This window comes from Homo sapiens, chromosome 9 (assembly GCF_000001405.40).
Source record: "Homo sapiens chromosome 9, GRCh38.p14 Primary Assembly".
Classification (NCBI taxonomy): Eukaryota; Metazoa; Chordata; class Mammalia; order Primates; family Hominidae; genus Homo; species Homo sapiens.
In genome coordinates, this window is record NC_000009.12 from 110,759,928 (window position 1) to 110,787,325 (window position 27,398).

Here is a 27,398-nt window from a genome sequence, read left to right on the forward strand (position 1 = left end):
TGGGAGGCTGAGGCAGGAAAATAACTTGAACCCAGGAGGCAGAGGCTGCAGTGAGCCAAGATCACACCACTGCACTCCCTCCTGGGCCACACAGTGAGACTCCACCTCAAAAGAAATAAAAAATTAAAAAATAACAGACACTGGCGAGGTTGCTGAGAAAAGGGAACTCTTATACACTGCTGCTGGTGGTGTAAATTAGTTCAACCACTGTGGAAAGCAGTGTGGTAAGTCCTAAGATAACAAAAACAGAACTACCATTCGACCCAGCAATTCCGCTACTGAGTATATATTCAAAGGAATATAAATCAGTCTACCATAAAGACACATGCATGCAAATGTTCGTTGCAGCACTATTCATAATAGCCAAGATGTGGAATCAACCTAAATGCCTATCAATGACAGATTGGACAAAGGAAATGTGGCACATATACACCATGGAATACTACGTGGTCATAAAAAATAATAAGATCATGTCCTTTGCAGGAACATGTATGGAACTGGAGGCCACTATCCTTAGCAAACTAATGCAGGAACAGGAAACTAAATACTGCATGTTCCCACTTATAAGTGGGAGCTAAATAATGAGAACACATGGACAGAAAGAGGGGAACAACAGACACTGGGATCTACCTGAGGGTAGAGGGTTGGAGAAAGGAGAGGATTAGGAAAAAAAAAAATAGAACAACTTTCGGGCACTATGGTTAGTACGCGGGTGATGAAATAATCTATACACCAAACTCGCAAGTCACAAGTTTACCTACACAACAAACCTGAATTATGTACCCCCGAACCTAAAATCAAAGTTAAAATATTCTTCAGGATCACTGAATAAAAAGCTCATAAAGATTCAAAAAAGTCATACACTCAAAGTTATAAAAACCTTCTAGTTACCAACCCTCACCAATCTCAAAGAGAATGATTAGAAATACAAGCTCATTGTATTTTAAGAAGATTGACCTCTCAGAGAAATTCATGTTACAGCCCTTAAAAATCCCCCCCAAAATAACACCCAAATGGATCTAAAACCTTCAAAACGGAGTTAGACCTCAACATTAGGAGAAATTTTAATATGGCAAATTGGTTTTAGACAAAGCATATGTTTTACTGTTTATTTTCGTAATGAGGGTTGAGAGGACAGGACGAAGTAACCATAAAGCACTTGGTAAAGAGTGTGAAGTTTTTAATTTACAAGAAAGAAAATGGAATAATTCAGAAATGCTGGTTATATCACACCCTTGCCGGGATTCTCATGCCTTGGCAGAGTCTGAGTTGGGGCTGTTTGTCCTGGGAATCACATACCACCAGAGGAGAGGCGTATTCTCCTCAGAGCCCTGAGTTTTTACATCCGTGAGCATGGGCAGCTACATAATTTGCAGGGCTAGGTGTTCCAAAAACGGTAAGGATTTCAAGGTAGGGAGAGCAGAACATTAAATTAAGCCCGAGGCCCTTCTGAGTGCAGATGCCATGCAGCTACCCAGGGCACACAGCCTTGAGGCAGCCAGGTCTATGAGAACAACCATTGCCTACTTTCTCTTCTACCCTCTCTCCTCTGCATGTTCTTTTCTTTTCTCCTTCTCCTTCTTTTTTCTTTTTTTCCAAGTCTGCTTTATGCATCTTCTCTGTTAACCTCCACATCTTGCTTTTTTTTTTTTTTTTTTTTTTTTTTGAGACGGAGTCTCGCTGTCGCCCAGGCTGGAGTGCACTGGCGCGATCTTGGTTCACTGCAGGCTCCGCCCCCCGGGGGTTCACGCCATTCTCCTGCCTCAGCCTCCCACGTAGCGGGATTACAGGCGCCCGCCACCTCGCCCGGCTAATTTTTTGTATTTTTAGTAGAGATGGGGTTTCACCGTGTTAGCCAGGATGGTCTCGATCTCCTGACCTCATGATCCGCCCACCTCGGCCTTCCAAAGTGCTGGGATTACAGGCGTGAGCCACCGCGCCCGGCCCACATCTTGATTTCTTAATGTAAAGTCCCTGGGTAGCTAATGGAGGGAAATTCTGAGCTTAGATATTGCCTTGGTGGATGTTACCCATGATTGACTCAGTTTGAAAAGAACCTGCTTCCTAAAGATACTCAATATTTTCTTCATTTCCTCCGAATCTGCCCATTAATGCAGCATCTGGCCTCCTAGCAGAAGCGGAGAACTTTTCAGAAACTTAGAGATCAGTAGTATCAAAACAATCTCAGCCAAAGCATAAGATGAAAATGTACTAACGTTCTTTCTTTTCTCCTTTAATTTGACTTCCTGTGGGAACTTCCTTTCCTGTTAATAGAATGGAGGTAAGAAACTGTTATTGTAACAATTGTTTCCAATGTTTTGTTTTGTAGGGATTTCGTTTGTTTGTTTTTGTCTGTGAGAGGGTCTTGTGTTGCCCAGGCTGGAGTGCGGTGGAGTATGTTTTGTTTTTGTTATTTGACATGCCATTTATTGAGTGTTTACTATTTGCTGAGCACTGTAACATTTTAGAAACTTTCTAATTTCTAATCCTTTTAGTAAGTATGATGAAGTGAAAGACAGGTAACCTCTACTGAATACTTACTATGGATCGGGCACTGTGCTGAGCTTCACATGCATTATTTAAATCTATCTTCAAGACATCCCCATGGAATGGGTATTATTGTTATCTCTATTTTGCAGAAAAAAAAAATAAAAAAACCTAAGAAAGTTTCTTTGAACTGGAGAGTTCAAGTGGCTTACACAGCCAGTAAATGATAAAGTTAGAAATGGAACCCAGAACTGCCAAACTCCCCCTTATAGCTCTAACCTATATATAAGAAGGTATCCCTTGCAATATAACCTTTTGCAACTTACAGTGTTTTATTTGCAGTACTTTTAAAACTGACCTTCATAAAACTCTATGGAGTGTAATTAATTTTAAGACAGCATTCTTAGCACATAGCCTACGTTTAAAAACAGGCAGCAGGATACAAAATTTTGGTTAGATAGCAAAAATAAGTTCAAGAGATTTAGAGTACAATACAGTGACTATCATTAATAACAATGTATTGTATTCTTGACAACCACTGAGAATAGATTTTAAGTGTTCTCATCATCAGAAAATGGTAAGTATGTGAGGTAATGCATTTGTTAATTAGCTCAATTTAGTCATCCCACAATGCGTACATGTTTTAAAACATCATGTGGTACACAATAAAAAAAACAGTTTTTTTTAACTAAAAACACCTTTTAAAGTTTTACTGTTAAAAAGGTCTTAAGAAATACCATTTGGATGTATATATTGCTCTGAAAAGCAGTGAAAATCATGATACACATTATATGAAAAATTAAACTAGTTTTAAGTATATAGGATAGTGATTTGTCATAATTGACTGCATTCCAGTTTGTTAATGTGGTATCAAAAATTCTCAGTTCAAAAAAAAGAAAAAATTCTGAGTCCATTTTTTAATCTAAATATTGCTTTAATAATTTTTATTAACAATTTTGGAGCTACTGCCTTAGCAGAGTAAAGTTTATCTAAACTAAAATTAATAAAAGTGCCATTTAATAACCCTCCTTCTGAAAAAAACAGGCAGCAGGCCAAATTTGTCCTGTGGGTTGTACTTGCTGACCCCTGCCTTGGAGAATAAATTATATACAAAGACACTAGACGCGAAAGAATAGAAACAGTTCCCGTTTGCTTTGAAGGTTGGAAGTAGCACAGAATCTGTCATTACCTTTGTTGGGAATGTTCAAGGAGAGATAAGGCAGTTGCTAAAAAAGGGAAGATTTGTCTGAAGCAGAGGAGAGGTACAGCTGTCAAGTGTGCCTGTGCAGGGAGGGAGGGAAGTAAGGTGTGGAGTTTCCACTAGAGTCTTGGGGTTGTCATAACACAAACATGCCATGGCTGGTCATCTGGAATGCCCTTGGGACAAAATATTATGTGTTCAAAGGGAGTAGACATCTCCCTCAGAGAAACTTGAAGATAACATTTTAAAATGTTCTATTGAATGTGATTCATGCGTTTCAAAGTAGAGAGAAATAGGAGTAAGAGGTGCAGTGAGAATTCTTTACCTACTCCCTTTGACCACATAGGGTTGTCTGTTATAAAAGAAGTTGAAAAGGAGATCCGAGATCAAATATCCATTATTGCCTCTACAAGAAAGGGAACTTTTCTGAAAGAGAAGTCAACTGAGTTTATATTGTAAGGAGGCAAGAGAGGGACTGTTTCCATGTGCAATATTAACTAGCATTATTAGAAGCTAGTCTGGCTGATGATTCCGAAATAACCAGCATTCTGTGAATGGATCCCTGTGACCTCTGTCCCACGGTTCTAATGAGCAACAGGACCAGCTGCTTCTAGTGTTGCCCCATCAGCAGTACCACGAACTGCAGGCAGAGAAACACAACTTTAGCTGGACATGGAGGGGTCTTGTCACTTACAAAAGACAACAGAAGACACCAATGGAAATTATTTGCATTTATCTCATTCCCCAGTTCTTGCTGTGAGCTCCTTTTAAAAATGTTTGAAGTGATAGATTTAGGGGTTTGAGGGACAAAATGTTCCAGTTGGCCTCTGTGTCTTGCATCTAGAATTTGATCACTGTGTAAAATTGAAGGCTTATATTTCTGCACAAGAGGAGAGGAAAAGGAAGTGGTTGAAACACTGAAACTATAGGTAGTTGATAGATAAACAAATTCAGATATATATAAATTTAGATAGATAGATAGATAGATTAGATAGATAGATAGATAGATAGATAGATAGATAGGTAGGTAGATCATCGGTCTTGTGTGTGCCTTACCTTTTAGAGCTAATCCAAGCACTGATATAATACCAAAGCCAAGTCCTTAATTATTCCAGGAACATCATAGAAATGAAATGTAGAAAACTAATAATAATCATATACTTTGTATGTGTATGTTTTTTCCCAGCACATAAAGGGTTTGTATAAGCTAGTGGTCATCAAGCTGTTAGGAAGAAAAAGCAAAATTAAAACTAAGATCTTCTCATTTCTATTCAAAACCTATTGTCTTTTTTTCTTTTTCATTTTTATTTTGCATTATATACTTAATGCTGTAAAACTAATGAGGATTCAATACTAGCAGAAATTCAGACAGAGGGGTTCATTATTAGTTGATTGTTAGTAATCCTTATCTCTGAAGTTATTTTCATTAATTTTTCTTTTGTGTACTTTTTCTTAGTTTCCAGTTTTTTAAAAAAGTGTGTTTTGATGTATAATTAAAGGAAACATCATGAAATGTCTATTATTTTTAAAAATACTCATGGAAAATGAGTAACAGCATCATTGAATAGTTAACACATGACAGCAAAACCTGAATGAATAATTCTCAGCTCGGAGACACTGAGAAATATTTAATTTTTACATGGTGGAGTTTTTTCTGTTAAGCGTAAAGAGTCACACATGCTCTTATTCATCCCCCTTTATGCCGAGATATTACGTCAACATGTGAGACCATTTCGTAAACCAGTTTGAGATATTTCTGGTTACTCCTTATTATATAGTTTCTTAAAGCACAGTGTAGAAGCTGGTTAGGGATTAATTCCTTTCCTTCCCATCCTAACAGTCATGGCTGACACCTATATAACAATGACAGGTTAACAAGAGAAGAGCATAACAAATATGTTTGATCACAGTTTTACATAACATGGGACCCTTCAGAATAAAGACCCCAGATACAGGGAAAGCAATCCTTTTTTTCTGAGACAGAGTCTCGCTCTGTCACCCAGGCCGGAGTGCAGAGGTGCAATCTCAGCTCACTGCAACCTCTGCCCCCCAGATTCAAGTGATTCTCCTGCCTCAGCCCCTCGAGTAGCTGGGATTACAGATGTCCGCCACCACGCCCGGCTAATTTTTATGTTTTTAGTAGAGACTGGGTTTCTCGATGTCGGCCAGGCTGGTCTCAAACTCCTGACCTCAGGTGATCCACCCATCTCGGCCTCCCAAAGTGCTGGGATTACAGGTGTGAGCCACCACACTCAGCCAAAGCAATCCATTTTTATGCTTAGGTTCAATGAAGTATGAACAGCTGTGTAGAAATATGATTAGACACAAAGGGTATGATCTAATGCTAACAGGCTGAGTGGGGAAACTAGCCCATCCTGCTTGTTCAGATTTTTCTCAGCCCCTCTGTGCAGCACTCACTCCTCCCAGGCAAGAGGTAGGATCCCTCTGGAATGAGGGTCTGAATTTCTTTATGGCCAGGTGTTACACAGAAAAGCTGGGGGTGGGTAGAGTAAATGTTTAGGTTTTATGGCTGGCCTTGAGGAAAAGGCGTTCTGGTGTCTGATCTGACTTGGAGAAGAGGGATTCTAGTGTCTAAGGTTTGCCTGAGGGAAGAAAGAGAGGAGAGACAGGAGGGCAGAAGGTCTGTTTCTGAGGCTGCTTCTTAGGCCTTCACCTTGGGGTGTCGTTTACTGAGCCTCAACAACAGCATCCTTGTTTCTGTCTAATTTTCTCTGGGGGTTTTCTCACCTTTACCTTGAGAAAGTTTTTGTGGAGTTTTGTGCTTTCTTATTCAAGGCCTTCATTTTAAATATTCCCAACAAACAAAGGGATACAGTAAAACTCATGTTGGCTAATTAGAAAAAGGCCAGTATGAATTAAAGGAAGACTCTATATTACAAAATATTGTTTTAAAGTATAGCTGTGTTTCTTGGAAGTTCATCATTTTACCTGAATGTATTATATCTCATTCCAATGAATTTGCTTTAAAGACCTGCCAGTGGTGGTTTGTAATTATAGTATTAATTTTTTAAATTCAATTGGGGTCACGTAACAATTTTAAAATTTGACACAAATTCTAATTTGTTTAATTTTCTTACTTTAAATTCTTTATATAAAGACAATGAAAAACTAAATTCGATAGTTGTACAAATCTAAATGAGAATATAACTTAAGAGTTTTCTTAAGTCATTACTAACACTATGGAAGATCTGATAGAACACATAAGAATATACTGAGACCATCACAGTGCCTACACATAATAAGTATTCAATATATGTTTGTCAGGTGAGAATATGAGTTGTTATAATTCCCAGCATTATATTAAGGGAACAAGTAGATGTGTGAAGAGAGTACCAATAGCATTTTCCATTCTCCCAATTGTCTTCAGTTATTATAGCAGATAAGTTTTTAATCCTATGTTTGTGCTAGCACTAGCATTTACAGGTTTCTCCCTGATATATGGCCCATTAACACACAATAATCCGAGTTCAGAGTAATTACTTACATCATTCAACAGAATAGATCACTGAGGCACTGGGTGACCAGTTGACTTTCCATGTGATGAGACATGATGAGAAAACAGCAAAGCTGAAGGTGCTACTTGGCTCCTCTGGAAGCCATATTTCTGCTTTCTCCTCCCTACATCACTTTCTTTTTCTTTAATGGAATTCTAGGAAGATGTGTGAGTGGGAGAATCTGAGTGTGGAAGGTGTTGCAAAGATGTATATGTTGTCAAAAATTAAGGTAAACTATCATAACACATAAATAAACTATGTTCCTAAAGCTGCAAACTTTTTAGGTGAGAGCAATTATTCTTATGCTCAATTATTTGTTAACCATCATGATGAAATGTCTTCCAGATGCATCTTTGCTTATATCAGCTTATTAACTAAGAGTAGTCAGATTCTATTTATAATGTAAAATATTAAAAATACCCAAATCTATTCAGTCCTTCATAGTTCCCAAAGCTTTCCACATCTATCGTCACATTTGGCCTTCTCAATAGCCCTGTGGAGTAGCTAGAGATGATATAATTGCAGCTGGAAATGAAGACAATATTCAAATGGAGCGTGTCAACCAATTTACTAGTACAATTTTCTCCTATTTCTGAGACACAGATGTGAAAACCAAAAAAAAAAAGAAAAGCAGAATGAATGCCAAGAAATAGCATGTGATTAGAAATGTTGTTCATTTCTTCTTTCAGTAAACCACAGAAAGATAACAAAGGCTACTGCGCCCAGTACAGAGGGGAGGTGTGTAATGCAGTCCTGGCAAAAGATGCTCTTGTTTTTCTCAACACCTCCTATGCGGACCCTGAGGAGGCCCAAGAGCTACTGGTCCACACGGCCTGGAATGAACTGAAAGTAGTGAGCCCAGTCTGCCGGCCAGCTGCTGAGGCTTTGTTGTGTAACCACATCTTCCAGGAGTGCAGTCCTGGAGTAGTGCCTACTCCTATTCCCATTTGCAGGTAAAATCTCAAAAATAAGTCAAAGGAAAAATTCCATTTTTCTATCTGCACAACAGAAGGAGTTTTTGAAAAATGTTGTAATATGCAACAGTAAAAGGAAAAGCTGGTTTTCATCCAAAATAGGAGGTTAATGCCTGGGTGCAGTGGCTCATGCCTGTAATCCCAGCACTTCGGGAGGCCGAAGTGGGTGGATCACTTGAGGTCAGGAGTTTAACACCAGCCTGTCCAACATGGTGAAACCCCGTCTCTACTAAACATACAAAAATTAGCCAGGTGTGGTGGTGCACTTGTAATCCCAGCTACTCGGGAGGCTGAGGCAGGAGAATCACTTGAACTGGGGAGGCAGAGGTTGCAGTGAGCCGAGATTGCACCACTGCACTCCAGCCTGAGTGTTGAGACTCTGTCTCAAACAAACAAACAAATAGGAGGTAATTAATCAGACAATATTTCTACCATATAAATCACTAAAGATAACCTAAAATACAAGTACTTAGAACCTCTAGAAAATATCATAAATGGTGTAATATTCCATTACTCTTGTTATTGTTCACATTATTATCATATCCATAAATATCCCAGATTTCTATCAGATGAAAGGAGAAATCTTAAACATGGACCTCATTAGTAAGCCAAGATAGAGAAAATAAAAACTGTACATTATTTGTCAATAAATGAGATCATGCCAAGCATCTCTGAATGTTATTTTAAAGTACATTCCATCCAAAATTCTAAGTTCTGATGCTGTTGCCTCATTTGGGTGGTTATAGGAAGGAATTAGATTATAAATAGATATTTTGTTAAACTCCCATACTTTTTAAATATTGAAATTGATAAATTTATGTTCAATAGAATTATCTTCATCTTTAATTACTTCTTATGTAGAAAAAAAAGAATCTAGTTTTTGAGCTAAATAGAACAAAGTTCAAATACTGTTAGTTCTGCTTTCTCGATGTGTGTGGTCTTGGCTAAACTTCAGTTTCCTCATCTGCACGGTAGAATTGAGAGGATTAAAGGAAAAATCACACTCATGGAATATGTCAGAAACTAGATAGACATTGTTATTCCTAAATTTTCTGTTGAGGAAACCCCATGACAACAACCAACACAGCACATTTCCACTTCTATTTTGATAAAACCAGAAACTATTTAAATATTGCAATAATTTGAGGACACTCTCTATTTAGCATTCAATAACAACAGTATGGTCATTAAATTAGAGTTTTGTATTCCTCAATTTACTGCAAAGTTTGAGGGTTTGGAGACACTATAAGAGTAATATAATTTGTTTATTCATCTAAGAAGATTGTATTGTGATCAGGCATGTTATCTAAAAATCTCTAGGGACTTCAGCATTGACAGAATAAGAAGGGGAAAGAGAAGGAGAGAAAAAGTAAAATTACTGCAAAAAAAAATGGGAAGAGTGGGTGAGGGGCAGTAAAATTTGTTTTAATAGAACTTAAGAAATACTGATGCTATTTCAACTGTCCTTGCAGTTATTTGAAAAAATAGTGTCTCTGTTAATTATCACTTCTTTAGTTTAGATTTCTCTTTCTTGGGCTTCTTTATAGGATTCTCCAAAATTGTTTATTTGACGTACTGCTCAACAGTGAAAATCCTTTTGCTAGAAAGTAGCACGTGTATAATAAACAGAATGTAACCAGCAAAATAAAGTGACAGTAGATTCTATCAGCTTTTCCTTTAGTACTACTAACATAATTTGTGGTGGCCACGGGATAGTTATCATACTTACACAGTGACACTCAGGCAAATCAGCTCAACACCATGGATAGATGCTTGAGAGAAATAATAATTAGATTAGAAAAATTCTCTGTGTGTGTGACAGCCATTGTGGTTTTCTGATTACAAAACCCACAAGACTCCATTGTATAAAAAAAGAACACAGTACTTTCATTGCTAAAACCCAGAAAGTTGGTCACTACTGAGGTGTGTGTTTACTTATATTTACTTATATCTATATTTCTGTACTCTGAATTCTATTTCATGGATGGTTTCTCTATTTTTGCATTAGAGACTTTGGGTTTAATTACTGTCTTTATAATTAATTTCAATTTGTGCTACGAATTTCGCAGGTTTTCATCTTTTAAAAAATTATTGTTTACTCATTATATAATTATTTTTATTACATGTTGACATTGGCAAAATGTTTCTAAATTTCATATTTAAAAATAATTATATAAGTTATATAATACAATTATATATTAACTTAACAATAATTATCAATAATAATTAATAATTATTATATTAATAATAAATAATACTTAATATGATATAACTAATTATAAGCTATATAATTATATATTATAGTATATAACTTATATAATTGATATAATTTACAATTATATATTAATTATATAACATATAATTAATATATAATTATAATTATAGTTTATAATAATATAATTATATATTATATAGCTCACTATATAATTATTTTTAAATATAAAATTTAGAAACATTTTGCCAATGTCCACATGTAAATACCATTTAGAATTTGATCAGAATGATGCTAAGTTTATACAATTAACTTAGGGCACAGAGCTATATTTACATTACTGAGTATTCTCATTTAGGAGTATGGTATGCCATTCTTTTTATGTAGATCTTGTATTATGCCTGCTAGTAAAATTTGATGATTTCTTTCTTACTTTTTTTTAATTAAATTTATGACTAGGTGTGTTTTATAGTCATTGCTGTTGTTGCAAGAGTATTAATTATAATATAGTTATTACAGGAGGCTAGAATGTCCATAAAACATAGAGATGCAATTAATTCCCTTGTTCCTTATTTTAATAAAACTGCCATTAATTTCTTTAGAATTTGTACATTTTAGAGTTGAACTATGTAATTTTTTGGATCATATTAATCAGATTTCTAAAAATGTATTCTTTTTTTTGAGGTAGTTAGTTGATAGAAGTATAATTTATATACAAGAAACTGTGCCCCTTTTAACCATATAGTTCAGAGTTTGACAAACGTATACAACAATGTAACCACTACCCCAATCAAGACATAGAATGTTTTCACCACCCATAAATTTCTCTTATGCTCATTTCCTTCTTTTTTTTTTTTTTTTTTTTTTGTCCCTGGGTTCAAGCAATTCTCCTGTCTCAGCCTCCCAAGTAGCTGGGACTACAGGCACCTGTCACCAGGTATTTTTGTATTTTTAGTAGAGATGGGGTTTCACCTTGTTGGTCAGGCTGGTCTCGAACTCCTGACCTCAGGTGATTCACCTGCCTCGGTCTCCCAAAGTGCTGAGATTACAGGCGTGAGCCACCGCGCCCAGCCCTCTTATGCTCATTTCTAATCAACTTCCCATTATCTCTAAAGGCATCGTCGTTCTGATTTCTCTGACAACTAGTTTTGCTTGTTCCTGAATCTCATACTCATGAAATTGTATAATATATACTGCTTTGTGTCTGACTTCTTTTGTTCAACATGTTTTTGATATTCATCCACATTGCTACATGTAACAGTGGTTTGTTCCTTTTCATTGCAGCTTTTATTTGTGTGGTTGAGATGGAAATAGTTATGTGAAGAAGTAGGTAGGGTCAAGCTCCCCTTCATGCTGCCTAAGAATTATAAAGCAATTAATTTGAACAACTGCAGTATCAAAAGGAAAGTTAGTATAGAAATGTTAGGCCACTCAAGATGACAGACTCATCAGCCACAACAAAAAAGTCAGATACCAGCTTTAGACACAAAGGATCAACCAAATAATTTATTCCTGCAATTTGTAGTTTATTCCAATTTTGTTTGGTATTATACCTCCTAATTATTGAGAGGAATCAAGTCTCATCAATCATAAATCATTAATCCTTGCCAACAAATGTGTATTATTTTCCATTTTGTTAACGAGTTGTTACTACTATATAATAAAGCCATTTCATTTTATTATATTTATATACAACAACCGCTTTACAGTATTCTATTAGATTTTTGATTGATAGTCTATGGTTCCTCTGATGGAAAAATATGGTCTATAAATTATTATATATAGTTTATATATAATATAAAACTATAAATCTTAATTAGATTCTACTCTTTCTTAATTGAAATTTCAGAAATTTTTACTAGAATTAAAATTAAATTTTATCTTCATGTGCTAGCACAAAATACATTTATTAACTTTCCAGCATTTATGTCCCAGATCAGTTTACATGCCTGAGCCACAGATGTTCTTTCTAATCTTGAAAATAATTCACCTTTTTGAAAGAAAAAAATCCCTTTCATTGAAATGTTAAATTTATTAGAAAATCATAGTTATTTCCTAAATCTATGTCATTCACAGTATACATTTAAATTTTTTTTCTAATTCCCATTGTTATTTAAATAAGTAGTTTTATTGGGAAAATGTTATTTTTTAAAATCCTCATCATCAAATATTTTGTTCCCATTGAAGTAAGAAAATATAATCTAAAAATTTTTACATTTTAATATTTTATAGAGGTTTTTTCTCTGATATATAATAATAAAAATTGGCATTTATAAAGACTTAGTCTCTTCCATTAACATACAAAATTCATATATTTATGTTCAATCCTTTCTGCTCTTAAATGAGTATTAGCTATTTGGTCCAATAGTTTAATAGTGATGCGTCAAAATTTTCACAATTGTGTTTCCAAGAATGTTTTCTTGCAATTCTGACTCCTGCTTTTTGCACCAAGAAATATTAAACTAAAATTGAATTTACTGCTGATAACTGGTAAGTTTGATCTTCATTTTTTTGTTATATCTTTTGAAAAAGTCTCTACCTTTATTCATCAAACTAGTTCAGAAGTTGTCAACCATTTTATATTCTACTTCTACTTGCTTGTGATATTTTTAAAAGCGTGCTATCACTCATGGTTTTCTAATTATTAGGTTGGTACAAAAGTAATTGTGTTTTTTTTCCATTAAAAGTAATGGCAAGAACCGCAATTACTTTTGCCCCAACCTAACATAAGCAGTCATTCAATGATGTGTGCCTCTTTTCATGAACGACATGGAATTTTATTGTCTAACAAATATTTATTGATCTCCTTCTGGGCTCCAAGTACTACACTGAGCATTTGGGATATATTAATGAACATAATAAACAACTTATATATAACTTTAGAAGGTGTTAAATGTCATGGAAAAAGAAAAAAGGAATGCTTTAAGGAAGACCAGAAATAACAAACGGAGAGGAGAAAGTTGTAACTTTAAAAATAAGGTGTTCAGGGTAGACTTAATTAAGTTAGCATAATTGTACTGAATCTTCCACACTTGTTCTTTGAAACTTTACCTGAAATTATCAACCGTATTTGTATTGTTCAATTATATTTTATTTGCATATGCTCAATTTTTGGAACATTATTCTTAGCTTTTACATTTGATTTCATAATCATGTATAAGTAGATACTTGGAGGAGCTTATACTATGTTACTTATCATTGATACTCATTGTCATTCATTTCAAATAAAATATTTCTTTTTCTTAAATTCCTAATTTAAATTCACTTCTTGTTCATTCATCTCATCTTTACTCATCTCTCATTCAGCTGGAGTAGGTGTTTTTCACATGTAAAAAAAAATTCTGTCATTGTACATATGTGTTTTTGACTGGGTATTTAAGTCTGTGTTAACACAAGTGTTAGCTTTTGCGTTAGTTCTCCTCACTTGTGTTACTTATCCTCAAAACTGTGGACTCTGACCAATTATTTTCTGGCCATGTTGTAATAAAGAGGAAGAAGAAAGCAATCCTGACTTTTGTTCCTTTGTAAGGAACATTTTCCTCTCTCCAGATTGTAGAAAGATTATTTCTTTAATTGTTGAGATTCAAAATATTTGTAAAATTCATTTGGGGATAGATTTATTCTCATTGTTTTCTTTCATGTAATATAAATAATATAAAAATAATGGGTAATATGCCCTAAACATTGTGCCCTTTTCATCTTAAAAATGTTTTCTTATACCACATCTTTGATTATTTTCTATTTTTTATGTGCTCTGGTTCTCTTGCTAAGAAACACTATTATTTGATTTTGAACTTCTTACTTGCTCCACCTTATCAGTTATTTCACACATTATTTTCATCTGTTTAGCCCTTCTTGCATTCAGTTAGGTCCTTTCTTTCTGCATTCAATTGAATATTTAATTCAAATTTGTTTATTTCTTGCAGTGCCATTTGTTTTCTATTTTCAATGAAGATTGTTAAGTGTTGGTTTTATTTTTTGTGGTTTCTATTTTCTGTAGTTACTTCCATGTTCAAATTATCCTACTTTTTAGTCTATAGTTCATCTTGATTTGTTTTTTCTTGTGAAAAACTCTGCTATAGAGGGCATGCTTTAGTGCATGGCAATGAAAACAAAGCAAACCAAAAGCCATTCATTAATGTGTTCTTCTGTTTAGAATAAAAAAATTTCCCAGGTATTTGCTTCTTCTGCCTAATGTGGAGTATGGAGTTGTTTTCATATGTCCCATATTGATTTACACTTTAACTATGCTGTCTGCGTGCAAAAAAATGTGCTTATACAACCCAGGGGTGGAACCAAGCTAAGCAACTCTCCTCAGGTCCTTTACCTGCTCAGAAGTCTTGAAAGCCCCATTATACTCCCTTCTCCCTTACGCACACCAAGAATTATAAATCCCATTGTTTTCTTCATATAAGAATATATTTGCATCTCATCACATTCATATGCACAGCCTTTTATTCTATGCATACTCAATTAGCACATATTGGCAAGTTAGGAAAGTAGGAGTGTGGGAATAAGTATGAAAAAAGACACCATTGTGGCATATATATACACACACACACACACACACACACACTCTTACAATTTCCTCCTCTCTGAATCCTTCAGATACTGAATAAAGGACATCTGCTATTATTATGTTTAATTTATTTAATTATCTTTAATTTCCTCTTATTATTAACCCCAAATACCTTAATTTGAAATTAACCAGGTTTTTCCTATGCAGTTTGTCCTATTTTCTATCAGGCTTAAACAAATACTAATCTGCAAAATTCCAAGTAGTCCAATTAGTGTTTCTTCAGCCCCTTCACTCATAATACAACATGTAGATGAACATAACAGCTTCATATTCAAACAGATAATACTTTGGCTTTCTCAGATGGAAGCACGCAGAGCAATGGGACAGGATTCCGTGCCTCAAAGTAAGGGCTGAGTAAGGACCCAGATGCCCTCCTATAAGCTGCCAGGGAGGTGGTGGTGTTCTGTTTCAGAGGACAAAGCACACAGAGGCCCAGACTGTGTTCCTCGAGCCCTACCCATTAGCCCCAAGATCATAGAAAAATCTTCCAAGCTGGAAACTGGTTGACAATGATCCTGACTTTCAGTAGGTGTGTTTTTTAAACTCTGTATACCTTTTTCCTCTACCTGTGTTGTTATTTGAATATGAAGTTGGGAGAAGACATATCAGAGATTCCCAATCTAATACGTTTTAAATTTGACGTTTTTTTCCCTTAGACTAGCATTAATTGTGTTTCACAACAAAACGAGATAGCATTTCATCTCACGGGACAGTACACTAGATTTCATGAGGTCTCATATTATTTACAGTAAAAAGTTTCTTTCATAAACGCGCTTTTTTCAAGAACAATTTACCATGATGATGTCTTGAAAACACAGAATTTAGGCTCTGCCACAAATTTGCTTTAACATGTAATGATTCATCAAGTTTTGTTCTCCATATACTATTTTAGAGAGTACTGCTTGGCAGTAAAGGAGCTCTTCTGCGCAAAAGAATGGCTGGTAATGGAAGAGAAGACCCACAGAGGACTCTACAGATCCGAGATGCATTTGCTGTCCGTGCCAGAATGCAGCAAGCTTCCCAGCATGCATTGGGACCCCACGGCCTGTGCCAGACTGCCACATCTAGGTAACACAGAGTTCTCCCAAGACTTTGGAGGTTAAGAGAAATTTACTATTTTGAAGAAACTAAGGTGTGAACTTAAAGCTTCTAATATTTCTAGGCATTTCTAATTTTTTTTTTTTGAGTTCTGCCTTCCTTAGATACCTACTAGCGGAATCCTAATGCTATCCTAATTGTACAGATTAGCGTAAAGATTTATTTCATTTGCTCTAAAATAAATGAAACAGCACTTTTAATTACTGCTTGACATTTTAGATTCTTTCATAGGGAATCTTATGAGAGCTTGTAACATTTTCTGGAGTGTGTAGAAAAATGGCTAAGAAACATCTTATATTTTGTCAGCAGAGTGGAATAAAGGAATAAAGTCCTTTTTCTTAGCCAAGAAAGCATGCTAAAATAAGACACATGTTTGAAAATGCTGATCTCACAAAACAAAATTGAATTGCTTCATGTTGCTTTAATGAACTTTGTTTGTAAGGAACTATGTTGTTATCCCTAACAGCTGGTTTAATTTCAAAGACCCAATTCTTTCACATTCGAATGCAAAGAATGTTTTCCAGTTGTATATTAAAAAGCTGAGAGAGAACTTGCATTTCTTAGCACTCACTCTCTCACAGAATATGTGAGATATCTGGATGCTCACTTAAAACAAATTTTTATCCTTTCCCCTTCAGATTATAACAAAGAAAACCTAAAAAGTAAGTAATTGTGTTTGTGCCCTTGAAACCTTATGTGTATGTAATTGGATTCATGCATGTGTGTTTACACTTATATTTCCTGATGCCCAGAACAGAATGTACAGCCGCTCTCAAAGTCTTCTCACCATACTCATCCAGGGTATAACATGAGGGAAAATCATGGAAGGTCTCAGTTTATAACTTTTAATTAGACCGTAGAGAGTACCATATTTAGTGAGTCATACAAATGCTATCTCCCACCTCAAGGTTTTTAGTCTGTTTTATTTCTTATATGGCTATAAGTAAGCCAAATTTAAAATGTCACCTTTTGATTTTATATTCTTGATTCAGTATAATCTAATTATGTATAGATGAAACCCAACATTTATTTCTTCATTGAGCCAATTCATGATCTTCATTTGTGACAATAGATCCCTCTTTTGGAAGTTAGGTATTTTTTTAAGACAGCTGATTTCCAGTATAAAGTTTATAGGATCAAATCAAATGGCTTTAAAAAGGTCATCACAAAAATCTCTGGGAAAGAATTCAAGAAGGTTGCTTGAAAAGGGATGTCGTACAAAATAACTTGTATCAGATAGTGCTTTAACCTGTCAGAATGCAGAAATCCTCAGGATGAAATTAGAAAAGCTTTTCATGTCAACTAACTTCCTCTGGTCTCAGCGTTCTAAGGCTTAAATCACACTTACTTCCTGTAATACATATTCCAGCCCTAATCTCCTCTGCATTTGACTAGGTGCCAGGACTTGATTTTACCAGCTTGCTTAAAGGACCAACACTTAAAAGTATTAAAAGCAAGAATGCTACTGGTCCTAGTTGAATTACTCAGAGGTATTAAACAAGAAGAGTTATGGAAACCTTAAAAATCTATTATTCTGGTAGCCTGTCAAATTGTTATTCCCAAATCGAAGGAATAAAAAAAAATTTCAATTCTTTGTTATATGAGCAGCCAAAGTTTACTTTGATTGGACTTTGAATTGATTACTGTGCTCTTTGTTATCCATCGATTGCTCACTCATCCATTCAAACATTCATTGAGGGTTTGCTGTGTGGAAGGACCAGACCATTCATCTTAAATTAGACAGGAACAATACACAAAAAAGCATCCACATTTCTGCCTTTCACACTAATTATAAAGGAATTTTGAGCAGCACAAACTAGCTACAATAATAAATTTTCTAGTCTTTAAAAAACAGCTTTATGAAATCTTCGATACATGTAAGAAAATGAGCTCCTAATGTCATGAACTAACCATTTAAACTGAAAGTAGGGCAGGGAATATCTGAAAGTATGCTCCTTGAGTTAAGGCAATTATTATTAAAAGAGTTGGCTTTAGCAGGTCAATAGTGGAGCAAAGAAAACATCCTTATTAGGCAGTGTCCCATATTTTATAGGGGTGTGTAAAGACCTTAAGTATTTTCCAAAGAGTGTCTTGATTTCTGAGTAAACTCTAAAGAATATCACCAGCTCATTTGGAGGGGTCACAAAAGAGCTGTTAATCATTTGTTTATCTTTGCATTATTTTCTTCTTCCTTGAGCATAGGGACTAGAATTTCAGTAGTTTTTCTTTTTTATAATTTCTTTGGCTGAAGTGAAACATCTTTTTGAGCAGGCAATGCCTTTGTGCTATTTACATTATTTGTAAGCAAGGATTACACTATTCCTCTCTTCCGTGAGACTTCACATACTTTATTACAGAAACACTCAGCAGTGAATCTGTCTTCTATTTCAGAGCTTCTGTGGAGAAAAGGTTAATTTGTCTTAATCATTGAAATAATTACTTTTCTCTTGAATTCTCTTTTTCCTTCCATCTTTGCTCTTTCTATACATATACATGGAGAATAAAGGACCCAATGAATGTACCCAAATCCAAACTGACTAGTGTGATACATACATTATCTCTCTTAATACTCCCAATAGTTCTACAAAATTAAGTACTATGAACGTCCTCCATTTTACTTACAACCCAACATGAGAAAGAGAGATTAAGCAATGTGTCCAATTTTACCCATCTAGTAAGGTGATAAGCCAGAATTTGAACTGAAATCTATCTGATTCTGGCTCTGTCTTCAGAGCCAGAATGTTATACCTGATGCATTTCTGTTATTACTAATGTTTCTTAAAAAATTCCAAGACCTCATGTGTAATAAAGCTTAACTGATTGTTTAACTGATTCATTCTTGAATAAATTCCACTACCTTTTCACATTTGTTATAATTGATTATTCTTAAGAAGCTCTAATTGATAAAAATTTTATTGTTCACAATTTTAAATCACCCAGGCCACTTGATGATTTGACTTTTTGTTAACATTTAAATGAATACATGCTTTGTGTCCCAGACCATTTTTCCATAATGATCAGCTACTATTTTGCCCACGAATGAAATCATGAAGCGTCAGTGTCTCTGTGTGTGTGTGTGTGTGTGTGTGTCTGTGTAAAACTCATGAATTATTTCATAATTTGAAATGTGGTTTGGGTAATTTTTGTGGTAATATTAAAGTTACAAGTTCTTAGAAAATTGGAGTTTAAAGTAACTTTAACAGTTATTTAATCTAAAGTCTCCCACAATGAAAGAATCTTTTCTAGAGCATCTCTGACAGAAACATTCCATTTTCCCTCCTGAATTTATTTCTCAATTCCTTTGTAGAATACATTAATTATTTCAACAATTTAGCTATGTAGAACTAAATTCTGGTTCTCTAGAACTGTCAACAACTGATCTTCACTCTATTTCTTTGATTTATTTATAATCTGTATGATAGTCCTTAAAATATTTGGAGACAGGCACTCAATCTCTCTGTAGTCTTCTCTTCTTCACATTAAATATCTCCAATTTTTAACTTTTTCTTTTGCAACTGACTTCCAAAATCCTCACCTCCATGTTTACTTTTTACTGGCTGCCACAAGCTTGAGAATATCCAGAACTGAACACAAAGCACAGAACATGATCTGATCAGAATTGCAATGCAACCATATTTTCTGTGATAAGGCCTTGTTCTTTTATGAGTATAGATTAAACTCATGCTAGCTGTCTAATAATTTCATGACATTAATAGCCCTTCTATACACATATGGGTTTACTGATTTCCTTGATTTTCTAATAAATTTTCTACTAGACCAATCCAATTCATAATTATTTTTATTACATTCTTCTAGCATTTATAATAATTTGTACTTTACATGTTTAGTTACTATGTTCTATGAGGCATAGTGATCCAAGACACTTTTCTTTTTATATGAAGCTCTTTACCAATGTAAAATGTCACTCTTGTCTTGTTTTAGTGCTTTTAGCTTTAAATTTCTAGTATTAATAATGGTAATTTTTTCCTTGTATTTATGTTAACCTAGCACCTCTTTGTTCCTCTTTTATTTTTCTTTTCTTATAAACAACATATACCTGGGTTTACTCCAATCAGATAGCCATTTTCTATTAATAGGAGGATTTAGCCTGTTCATATTTTATATCACAACTGATATACTCTATTTTATCCCTACTATCTTAACTGTATATTTTCTATTCGCTTTACGTTTTTGCTTCTTCTTTTTCTTTTTCTTTACTTGTTACTGGTTATGTTTTCTCCACTGCTAAGTGAAAGTCAGACACCAATTCTTTCTACACATCGCAGTGCTCTATTTATTCTTCATTTCTGCCCACCCCATGGGACTTTCAGAATCTCCAGGAGATCCTCAGACTGCTTGGATCTTCTTCCTTACCTCCCCTGGTACTCTTAGGTTTCTCTTTGCAGAGTGATTCTCAATATTGAGTCTTACCTAGCGAATTAGCCAAGACTCCACCCATCACAGCCCCTTCACATGTATCCTGAAGTTATTTTCTGATTCAATTGTTATTAAGAGTCTCCTCATGTATTTCCTTAGAAGGGAAAGTGTCTTGGGAGACAGAATCCCTGAAGCCTTGTGTGTTATCAAATTGTTTTCTTTTATTTGGGTAGTTGAAAAGTGTATTAACTGGGTATGGAACTCCTGAGTGACATTTCTTTGGGTGGTTTATAGATGTGATTTCACTCTTTTCTAGCTTCTAGTGTTGGAAGCAGGTAGTCTGGTGTGAATTTATTTTTTTCCTGTAAGTAATTTATTCTTTCTATCTAGGCAGAAACTTTTTGATTTTTCCCTTTATCCGTGATATCTGTATGATAAAAATTGTTTAATCATGTGCTATTGAACATCTCTTTCCAACTCCATGATAGGGCTTCATGTTGGGAGCTTGAGATAAGCTATGATGGGAATCTTTATCCCATTGAAATCAGGATGGTAGACAGACCTTTCTAATGCAAAAAGTTGATCATGCTATTCCACCTCGTAAAACACTCCTATAAGACCCTCCATTTGCTGCAGGGCATAGTCCAAATTACTTAAATTGGTATACAAGGACTTTTATCACTAAACCTGATATCTGCAGCTTTACCTATAGATACTCCCCAACTCCAACAATGAAACTTCTAGGTGCACTTTTAGAAAGGCATCACATCTGCTTAGTTCAGATCTTGGTATATGCTATTACTTCTTTATAGAATACTATCTCTCTACCCTGACTCCATTCTACTCTCTTAATTCCCCCATCCCACACACACGTTTGTGTGTGTTTTTTTGTTTTGTTTTGTTTTGTTTTGTTTTGTTTTGTTTGAGACGGAGTCTCACTCTGTCGCCCAGGCTGGAGTGCAGTGGCACAATCTTGGTTCACTGCAAGCTCCGCCTCCCGGGTTCACGCCATCCTCTTGCCTCAGCCTCCCGAGTAGCTGGGACTACAGGCGCCCACCACCATGCCCAGCTAATTTTTTGTATTTTTAGTAGAGATGGGGATTCACCGTGTTAGCCAGGATGGTCTCGATCTCCTGACCTCGTGATTCACCCGCCTTAGCCTCCCAAAGTGCTGGGATTACAGGCGTGAGCTACTGCTCCCAGCCCACACCTTTTCCTTAGTCTGTTCAGGTTGCTATAACAAAATGCCACAGACTGGGTGGCTTATACACAGAAATTTATTTCTCACAGTTCTGGAGTCCAAGAAGTCCAAGATCAAGGTGCCAGCAGATTTGGTATCTGGTGAGGACCCATTCCTCATAGACATAGCTGTCTTCTCCCTGTGTCCTCACATGGCAGAACGGGCGAGGGAGCTTTCTTGGACCTCTTTTATAAGGGCATTAATTCCATTTATCAGGACTCTACCCTTATTCATTTCAACACATGAATGTGGGGGAAAGACACAAAGACTCAGATCATCATAACCTTCAACTGGTTACTGGCTACTCACCATTTATGTTTAACTTACAGTTACTCACTCTAGAAAACCTTCTCAGTATGTCTAAACCTGAGTTAGTGCCAGCCCTGAACGAGACTCACAAGCATCGTGTTCTTACTACTCCTATAATGCTTCTTATATTTTGTTTTATTTCTCCATTTATTCACTTGTGTCTCATGACAAGCAAAGACTTCTCATGTTCACCACAGTGTTCTGGATACCTAACAGTCACTATTGATTTAGTGAATGCATTTACATATGGATGAATGAGTGTATAAACTCCCGTAGTGTTCAGAGGAAAAGAATCAAGACAGAAAATTGGTGAGAGAAAAGATAAAAAGGAAAAAGAATGACGATTCAAAGTGATCCTTTAGACCCAAAGAGATCATTGATGTAGTTCAAGGGAAGATCAGATCAAATCAGAAGCAGTCATCAAGGAATAACAAAACAAAACTATCTTGAAGGAAAGAAACATTTAAATCCATAAAGCAAAATTATTGTTCCAACTATGTCATTTCTTGCATTTTAAAAAAACTCACTAAATCATCATAGATTTTTCTTTTAACATGACAGTAAATTCTACTTTCTGATTCTTTTTAGAAAAACTAACCTTATATTTACCAGTGAAATTACACTACCAACTTTACTAATTACATTATATTCCCTCACATGTTATATATGGTGTGAGATGCTCTGTAAACTCCAAATACAAAAATAGTTATTTCTCCCTATCTTTTAATAATTGTTCCAACTTTATTATTAGCAGAAAGCAAAGCTCGTCAATTTAAGCCACCCCCTACCACCACCACCCACCCATCTTAGATCGAGAAAACTTGGGATGACTCAGTCCAAAGAGAATCAGACTAGCTTTCAAGTCAGTCAGAGAGGAACCTGGTCAGTCTGTTGAGTCCACCACTCCTGTGGTGCCGGATGAGGCATGCTGTCACTGATCTTGCGCAGATGTTTTATTGCTGTGCTGATGTTCTTCCAGTTCCAGGTGCCTGCCTGAGTCACAGTGGTGACCAGGCCTGGCATCCGCAGGCTTCAGAATCACTTGCTTAGCCATTGGTACTCAGGGCATAATCACTGGGTCCACTTCATGTATGACTAAGAAGTCATACATGAGCGTCTCTTGTAGCCTCCAATTTTGCAAGTGCCCTATTTCAAATGCTTTAGGCATCTACTGCCATAAAGGTTTTATTTTGACTTTGTAATATGTTATATTAATATGTCCCCTTCTATTAAATCATTATTCTCTGACTATGATGTAGTCAGTTGCTAATATTTCGTTTAGGATCTTCTAAACTTAGGTTGTATAATCTATGTATGCTCTTTTCTTCTGTGCTAACATTGCCAGGTTGTGATATTGGTATTATAATAATTTCTAAAATAATTTGAAAGAATTTTCTCTTACTGGAACATATTATAAATATGGAAATTTTATCTCTTTCAAGACTAAAAGAATGTCTTTTATAATGTGATGACTTAAAAATCTAGTTTCCTGCCTATGGTAATATTTATATTTTCTAATGCTTCAAATTTGGGGATTAATATGTTCCTATCATTTTCCTTAAGGTGTGAAATATAATAATTACACATTATTTTAATTAACTTTGAATCTGTTATAACTTTTTTATCATTTCTAATTTTCTGTTTGTACCTTTTCTCTTTAATTAAAATTCCATTGATTAGACTACTATATGAATATTTATAAAACCAACTATTGATCTTTTAATTCTATCATTTGTGTTACGTGTATTCTAACTTATTAACTTCTGCTTGTGTATGGCTGTTACTTTATTACCTATTATCTTTTGTTTTCTGTAGTTATTGTTTCTTACCCAAAGTCTTGGGTTAAATGTTCAGTTCATTTACTTTCATTCTTTTTTATCTAGTGGAAGGAGATAACACTATGACTTTATCTTTGAGCACAACTTTGGCTAAATAAAATACACACTATTAAGAGGCTTGTGTCTAATCTATAACTATAGTTACTCTCTAGTTTTTGATCAAAAAGTCATTGATTTTTTTCTTTTTAAAAATGTCCCATTGGATTTTATTTAATCTATTATTAATTGCACTTTGGCCATTAAGTAGATATGCATAATTTCTGCCTTTAAAATTTATTGAGATTAATCCACAAATATTTGAAAGGAAGGTTTATTCTCTATTTTTGGGTACAAAGGTCATTCTTAGCTATTAAAACATTGTTGCTGATTATTTTAAAATACTCTGTATCCCTGTTTTTGTCTTTACTCAATCTGTTAAGAGGATTTAAATGTGATTAATAAGGTTCTTTTAATACATATACAATGGACTTTGTACTCTACAAATAGTGGTATGAGTATGGCATCTTTTGGTTTCCAACAGTAATGCTGATTTTACTTTATACATATCACATCGGCCTTTTAAATTGAAGTTTGACAGGAGTTCAGTTTTTAGATGAATTAACTTCTCATTTGTCTCCTAATATTTTCATTTTTCATCTTCTTTCATGATTTTTCTTCTGTTTGTAAACTGACAGTAAATGTATATAAAAGCTCAGCTCTAGACAATCCTGATGTCAAGTGTAATTATGTGAAAATATTTTATTTGATAATTTCCATGATTTATGTCAGGTCATAGATAATATGATTCAGTATAAATGGCACCAGCCCAAGATCTACATTTATCTCAGAAAAAAAAAACCTATTTCCTCTCTCTGAGTCTCATCTTTAAAATTCTATTATTCTATAAGCTGGATTTACTTACAACTAGACCTTACTGAACTTTATAAATATATAACCAGGGAGAACCTGATACATAAATATATTATTATCATGAAATTTATTTTACTGATTGCTTAAATACAAAAAATTGCTTCTTAAAGGTTTGAGAATGAATGAAATAATTATTCTTTACTTACAGCATTCCCACCAATGACGTCCTCAAAGCCAAGTGTGGACATTCCAAATCTGCCTTCCTCCTCCTCTTCTTCCTTCTCTGTCTCACCTACATACTCCATGACTGTAATAATCTCCATCATGTCCAGCTTTGCAATATTTGTGCTTCTTACCATAACTACTCTCTATTGCTGCCGAAGAAGAAAACAATGGAAAAATAAGAAAAGGTGAGATTCTAGTTTCAGCTAACCATGTGTAGTAATATTTTAAAGCCTTGTGTTTTATGGAGTTGGTATGACGTGAGGAATATATATGACACTGCAACTCTCTAAATATATCCGTAGCCCTGCTTTAAAATTAAGCACCCCCATCATGATCTTTACAAATGTCAATGACTTTTTGGCATGGGATCAAATCAAATGCCCTAGGGTTACTGTTTCACAAAAGGTAAAATCTAAACAATAATTTGGAGGAAAATGGCTATTCCTGCTCCTTGTCTTCTCCTCAGGCCTGTTGCCATTGCTGGCTTGGAGAGCTAAACATTTCTGAGAAAATGTGCCTTTTGACTCTAGACCAAACAAAATATTTTATTGCTCTCAAAACGAAGGATCTTTGGCTGCCTTAGTATAACTTGTTTTCATTACTCTTAAATGCCATATTTCTTAGAATCTAAGTCTAAGTACAAAGATCTAACCTGCTTCTGAGCTCATTCCTGATCTTGCCTGTCTTGCCTGCAGAGAATCAGCAGCAGTAACCCTCACCACACTGCCTTCTGAGCTCTTACTAGATAGACTTCATCCCAACCCCATGTACCAGAGGATGCCGCTCCTTCTGAACCCCAAATTGCTCAGCCTGGAGTATCCAAGGAATAACATTGAATATGTGAGAGACATCGGAGAGGGAGCGTTTGGAAGGGTGTTTCAAGCAAGGTAAAGTTACCTATGGAAAAAAAAACTCCATTGAAATATGTTATGTCTGAAAAGCTACCAAACTATTAGCTTGGTATATATATAATATTAGCTTTATATATATATACACACACATATATATATATATATCAAGCTAATGATATAGTACATATATATGTACACTGTGTGTGTATATATATATACACACACACATATACATATATACACACAGTGTAATATACAGTATTATATAGTATTAATACAATATTATATATGTATTATATGGTAATAATATACTATATAAAATAGTTTTTATCAAGTTAGTTAATTCTGGCCAGGTGCGGTGGCTCGTGCCTGTAATCCCAGCACTTTGGGAGGCTGAGGCGGGAGGATCACCTTAGTCAGGAATTCAAGACCAGCCTGGCCAACATGGCGAAACCCCGTCTCTACTAAAAATACAAAATTGAGCCAGGCATGGTGGTGCACAACTGTAGTCCTAGCTACTCGGGAGTCTGAGGCAGAAGAATTGCTTGAAGCCGGAAGACAGAGGTTGCAGTGAGCCAAGATCGCGCCACTGCACTCCAGCCTGGGTGACAGAGCAAGACTCTGTCTCAAAAAAAAAAAAAAAAAGAAAAGAAAAACTAGTTAATTCTTTACATCATTAACCTTATTTGTATTGCATAATACACTTCAAATCTTAATTTCCCCTCTTTGCTGGAAAACAGTAGCCTATATGGAGATAATATATTTTACTGCACTTAAAATAGGTAATTTATTGGAGATGTAAATGTGTCTTCACTTCTACGATTTTTAAATTATAAGAAATTAGTAATATAGTTCAATAATATTTCCTTTTCAGGAAAGAATTTACCATATATTTTTAATCATAATTTCTTACATTGTTTTAAATAACTCCTTACATTATAATATAATGTATAGATATTAAGTAGATGTTCATGAAATGACAAACAGAAAAGGAATAAAAAGGCAAAAATTTATAAAAAATGAGCTCAAGAAAGGAGTATGTATTAGGGCCAATATTAGCCTATGTATCACCTTTGTGCGAATTGGAATAAAATACCCTTTCTGCTGCATGGATATGGCTCCACAGACACACAGCTGAGCCAGAGAATATGAATTTGGTTTTAATCTCCAACTGGCACTTCGGCCTGGTGCTCTTGGGCAAGACACAACTTAATCTCCACCCATGGTGGCCCTGGCGTAGAGGTTACATGAATAGTGAAAATCTCACACAAACATGTCTTGGAAACCAAAATTTGCAAGGCACCACTTTAGGCTCAATGGAGGGTACAAAGATGAGTAAGCCATAGTTCCTACGTCATGGAATTTAGATTCTGGACAAAGATTAAAAGGTTAGGATGTGGCTGGGCGCGATGGCTCACACCTGTAATCCCCGCAGTTTGGGAGGCCGAGGTGGTCATATCACGAGGTCAGGAGATTGAGACCATCCTGGCTAACACAGTGAAACCCTGTCTCTACTAAAAATACAAAAAATTAGCCAGGTGTGGTGGCGGGTGCCTGTAGACCCAGCTACTCAGGAGGCTGAGGCAGGAGAATGGTGTGAACCCAGTATGTGGAGCTTGCAGTGAGCCTAGATCATGCCACTG

General features: G+C 35.2%; 1 protein-coding gene and 1 long non-coding RNA gene across 10 annotated transcripts in view, besides 1 other annotated feature; one reads left to right on the plus strand and one right to left on the minus strand.

The window, feature by feature from the left end:
• MUSK (muscle associated receptor tyrosine kinase) overlaps positions 1-27,398 on the plus strand; it is a 137,768-nt gene that overhangs the window by 91,137 nt on the left and 19,233 nt on the right. For 3 of the 9 annotated variants that reach the window (XM_005251995.4, XM_005251996.4, NM_001369398.1), the window contains 5 exons: positions 2,275-2,281; positions 7,893-8,156; positions 15,861-16,036; positions 24,888-25,089; positions 25,600-25,791. In XM_005251995.4, the coding sequence (XP_005252052.1) occupies positions 2,275-2,281; positions 7,893-8,156; positions 15,861-16,036; positions 24,888-25,089; positions 25,600-25,791 (841 nt within the window). Of the gene's footprint in view, positions 1-2,274; positions 2,282-7,892; positions 8,157-15,860; positions 16,037-16,704; positions 16,729-24,887; positions 25,090-25,599; positions 25,792-27,398 lie in introns of all 9 variants that reach the window. The other 6 variants (XM_005251994.4, NM_005592.4, NM_001166280.2 and 3 more) reach the window with 4 other exon arrangements.
• Positions 1,131-25,764, minus strand: LOC107987115 (uncharacterized). Its single transcript, XR_001746892.2, has 3 exons — positions 25,676-25,764; positions 24,886-25,053; positions 1,131-4,910 (listed from the first exon to the last, which is right to left on the minus strand). It is a non-coding gene; the product is annotated as an uncharacterized LOC107987115 (long non-coding RNA).
• Positions 22,459-23,658: an enhancer, noted in NCBI's record as "CDK7 strongly-dependent group 2 enhancer chr9:113544666-113545865 (GRCh37/hg19 assembly coordinates)". NCBI's record gives its function as "activates an origin of replication core promoter dependent on BRD2, BRD4, P300/CBP, MED14 and CDK7 cofactors, with strong dependence on CDK7, by STARR-seq in HCT116 cells {active_cell/tissue: HCT116}" and the evidence as "EXISTENCE:reporter gene assay evidence [ECO:0000049][PMID:35650434]".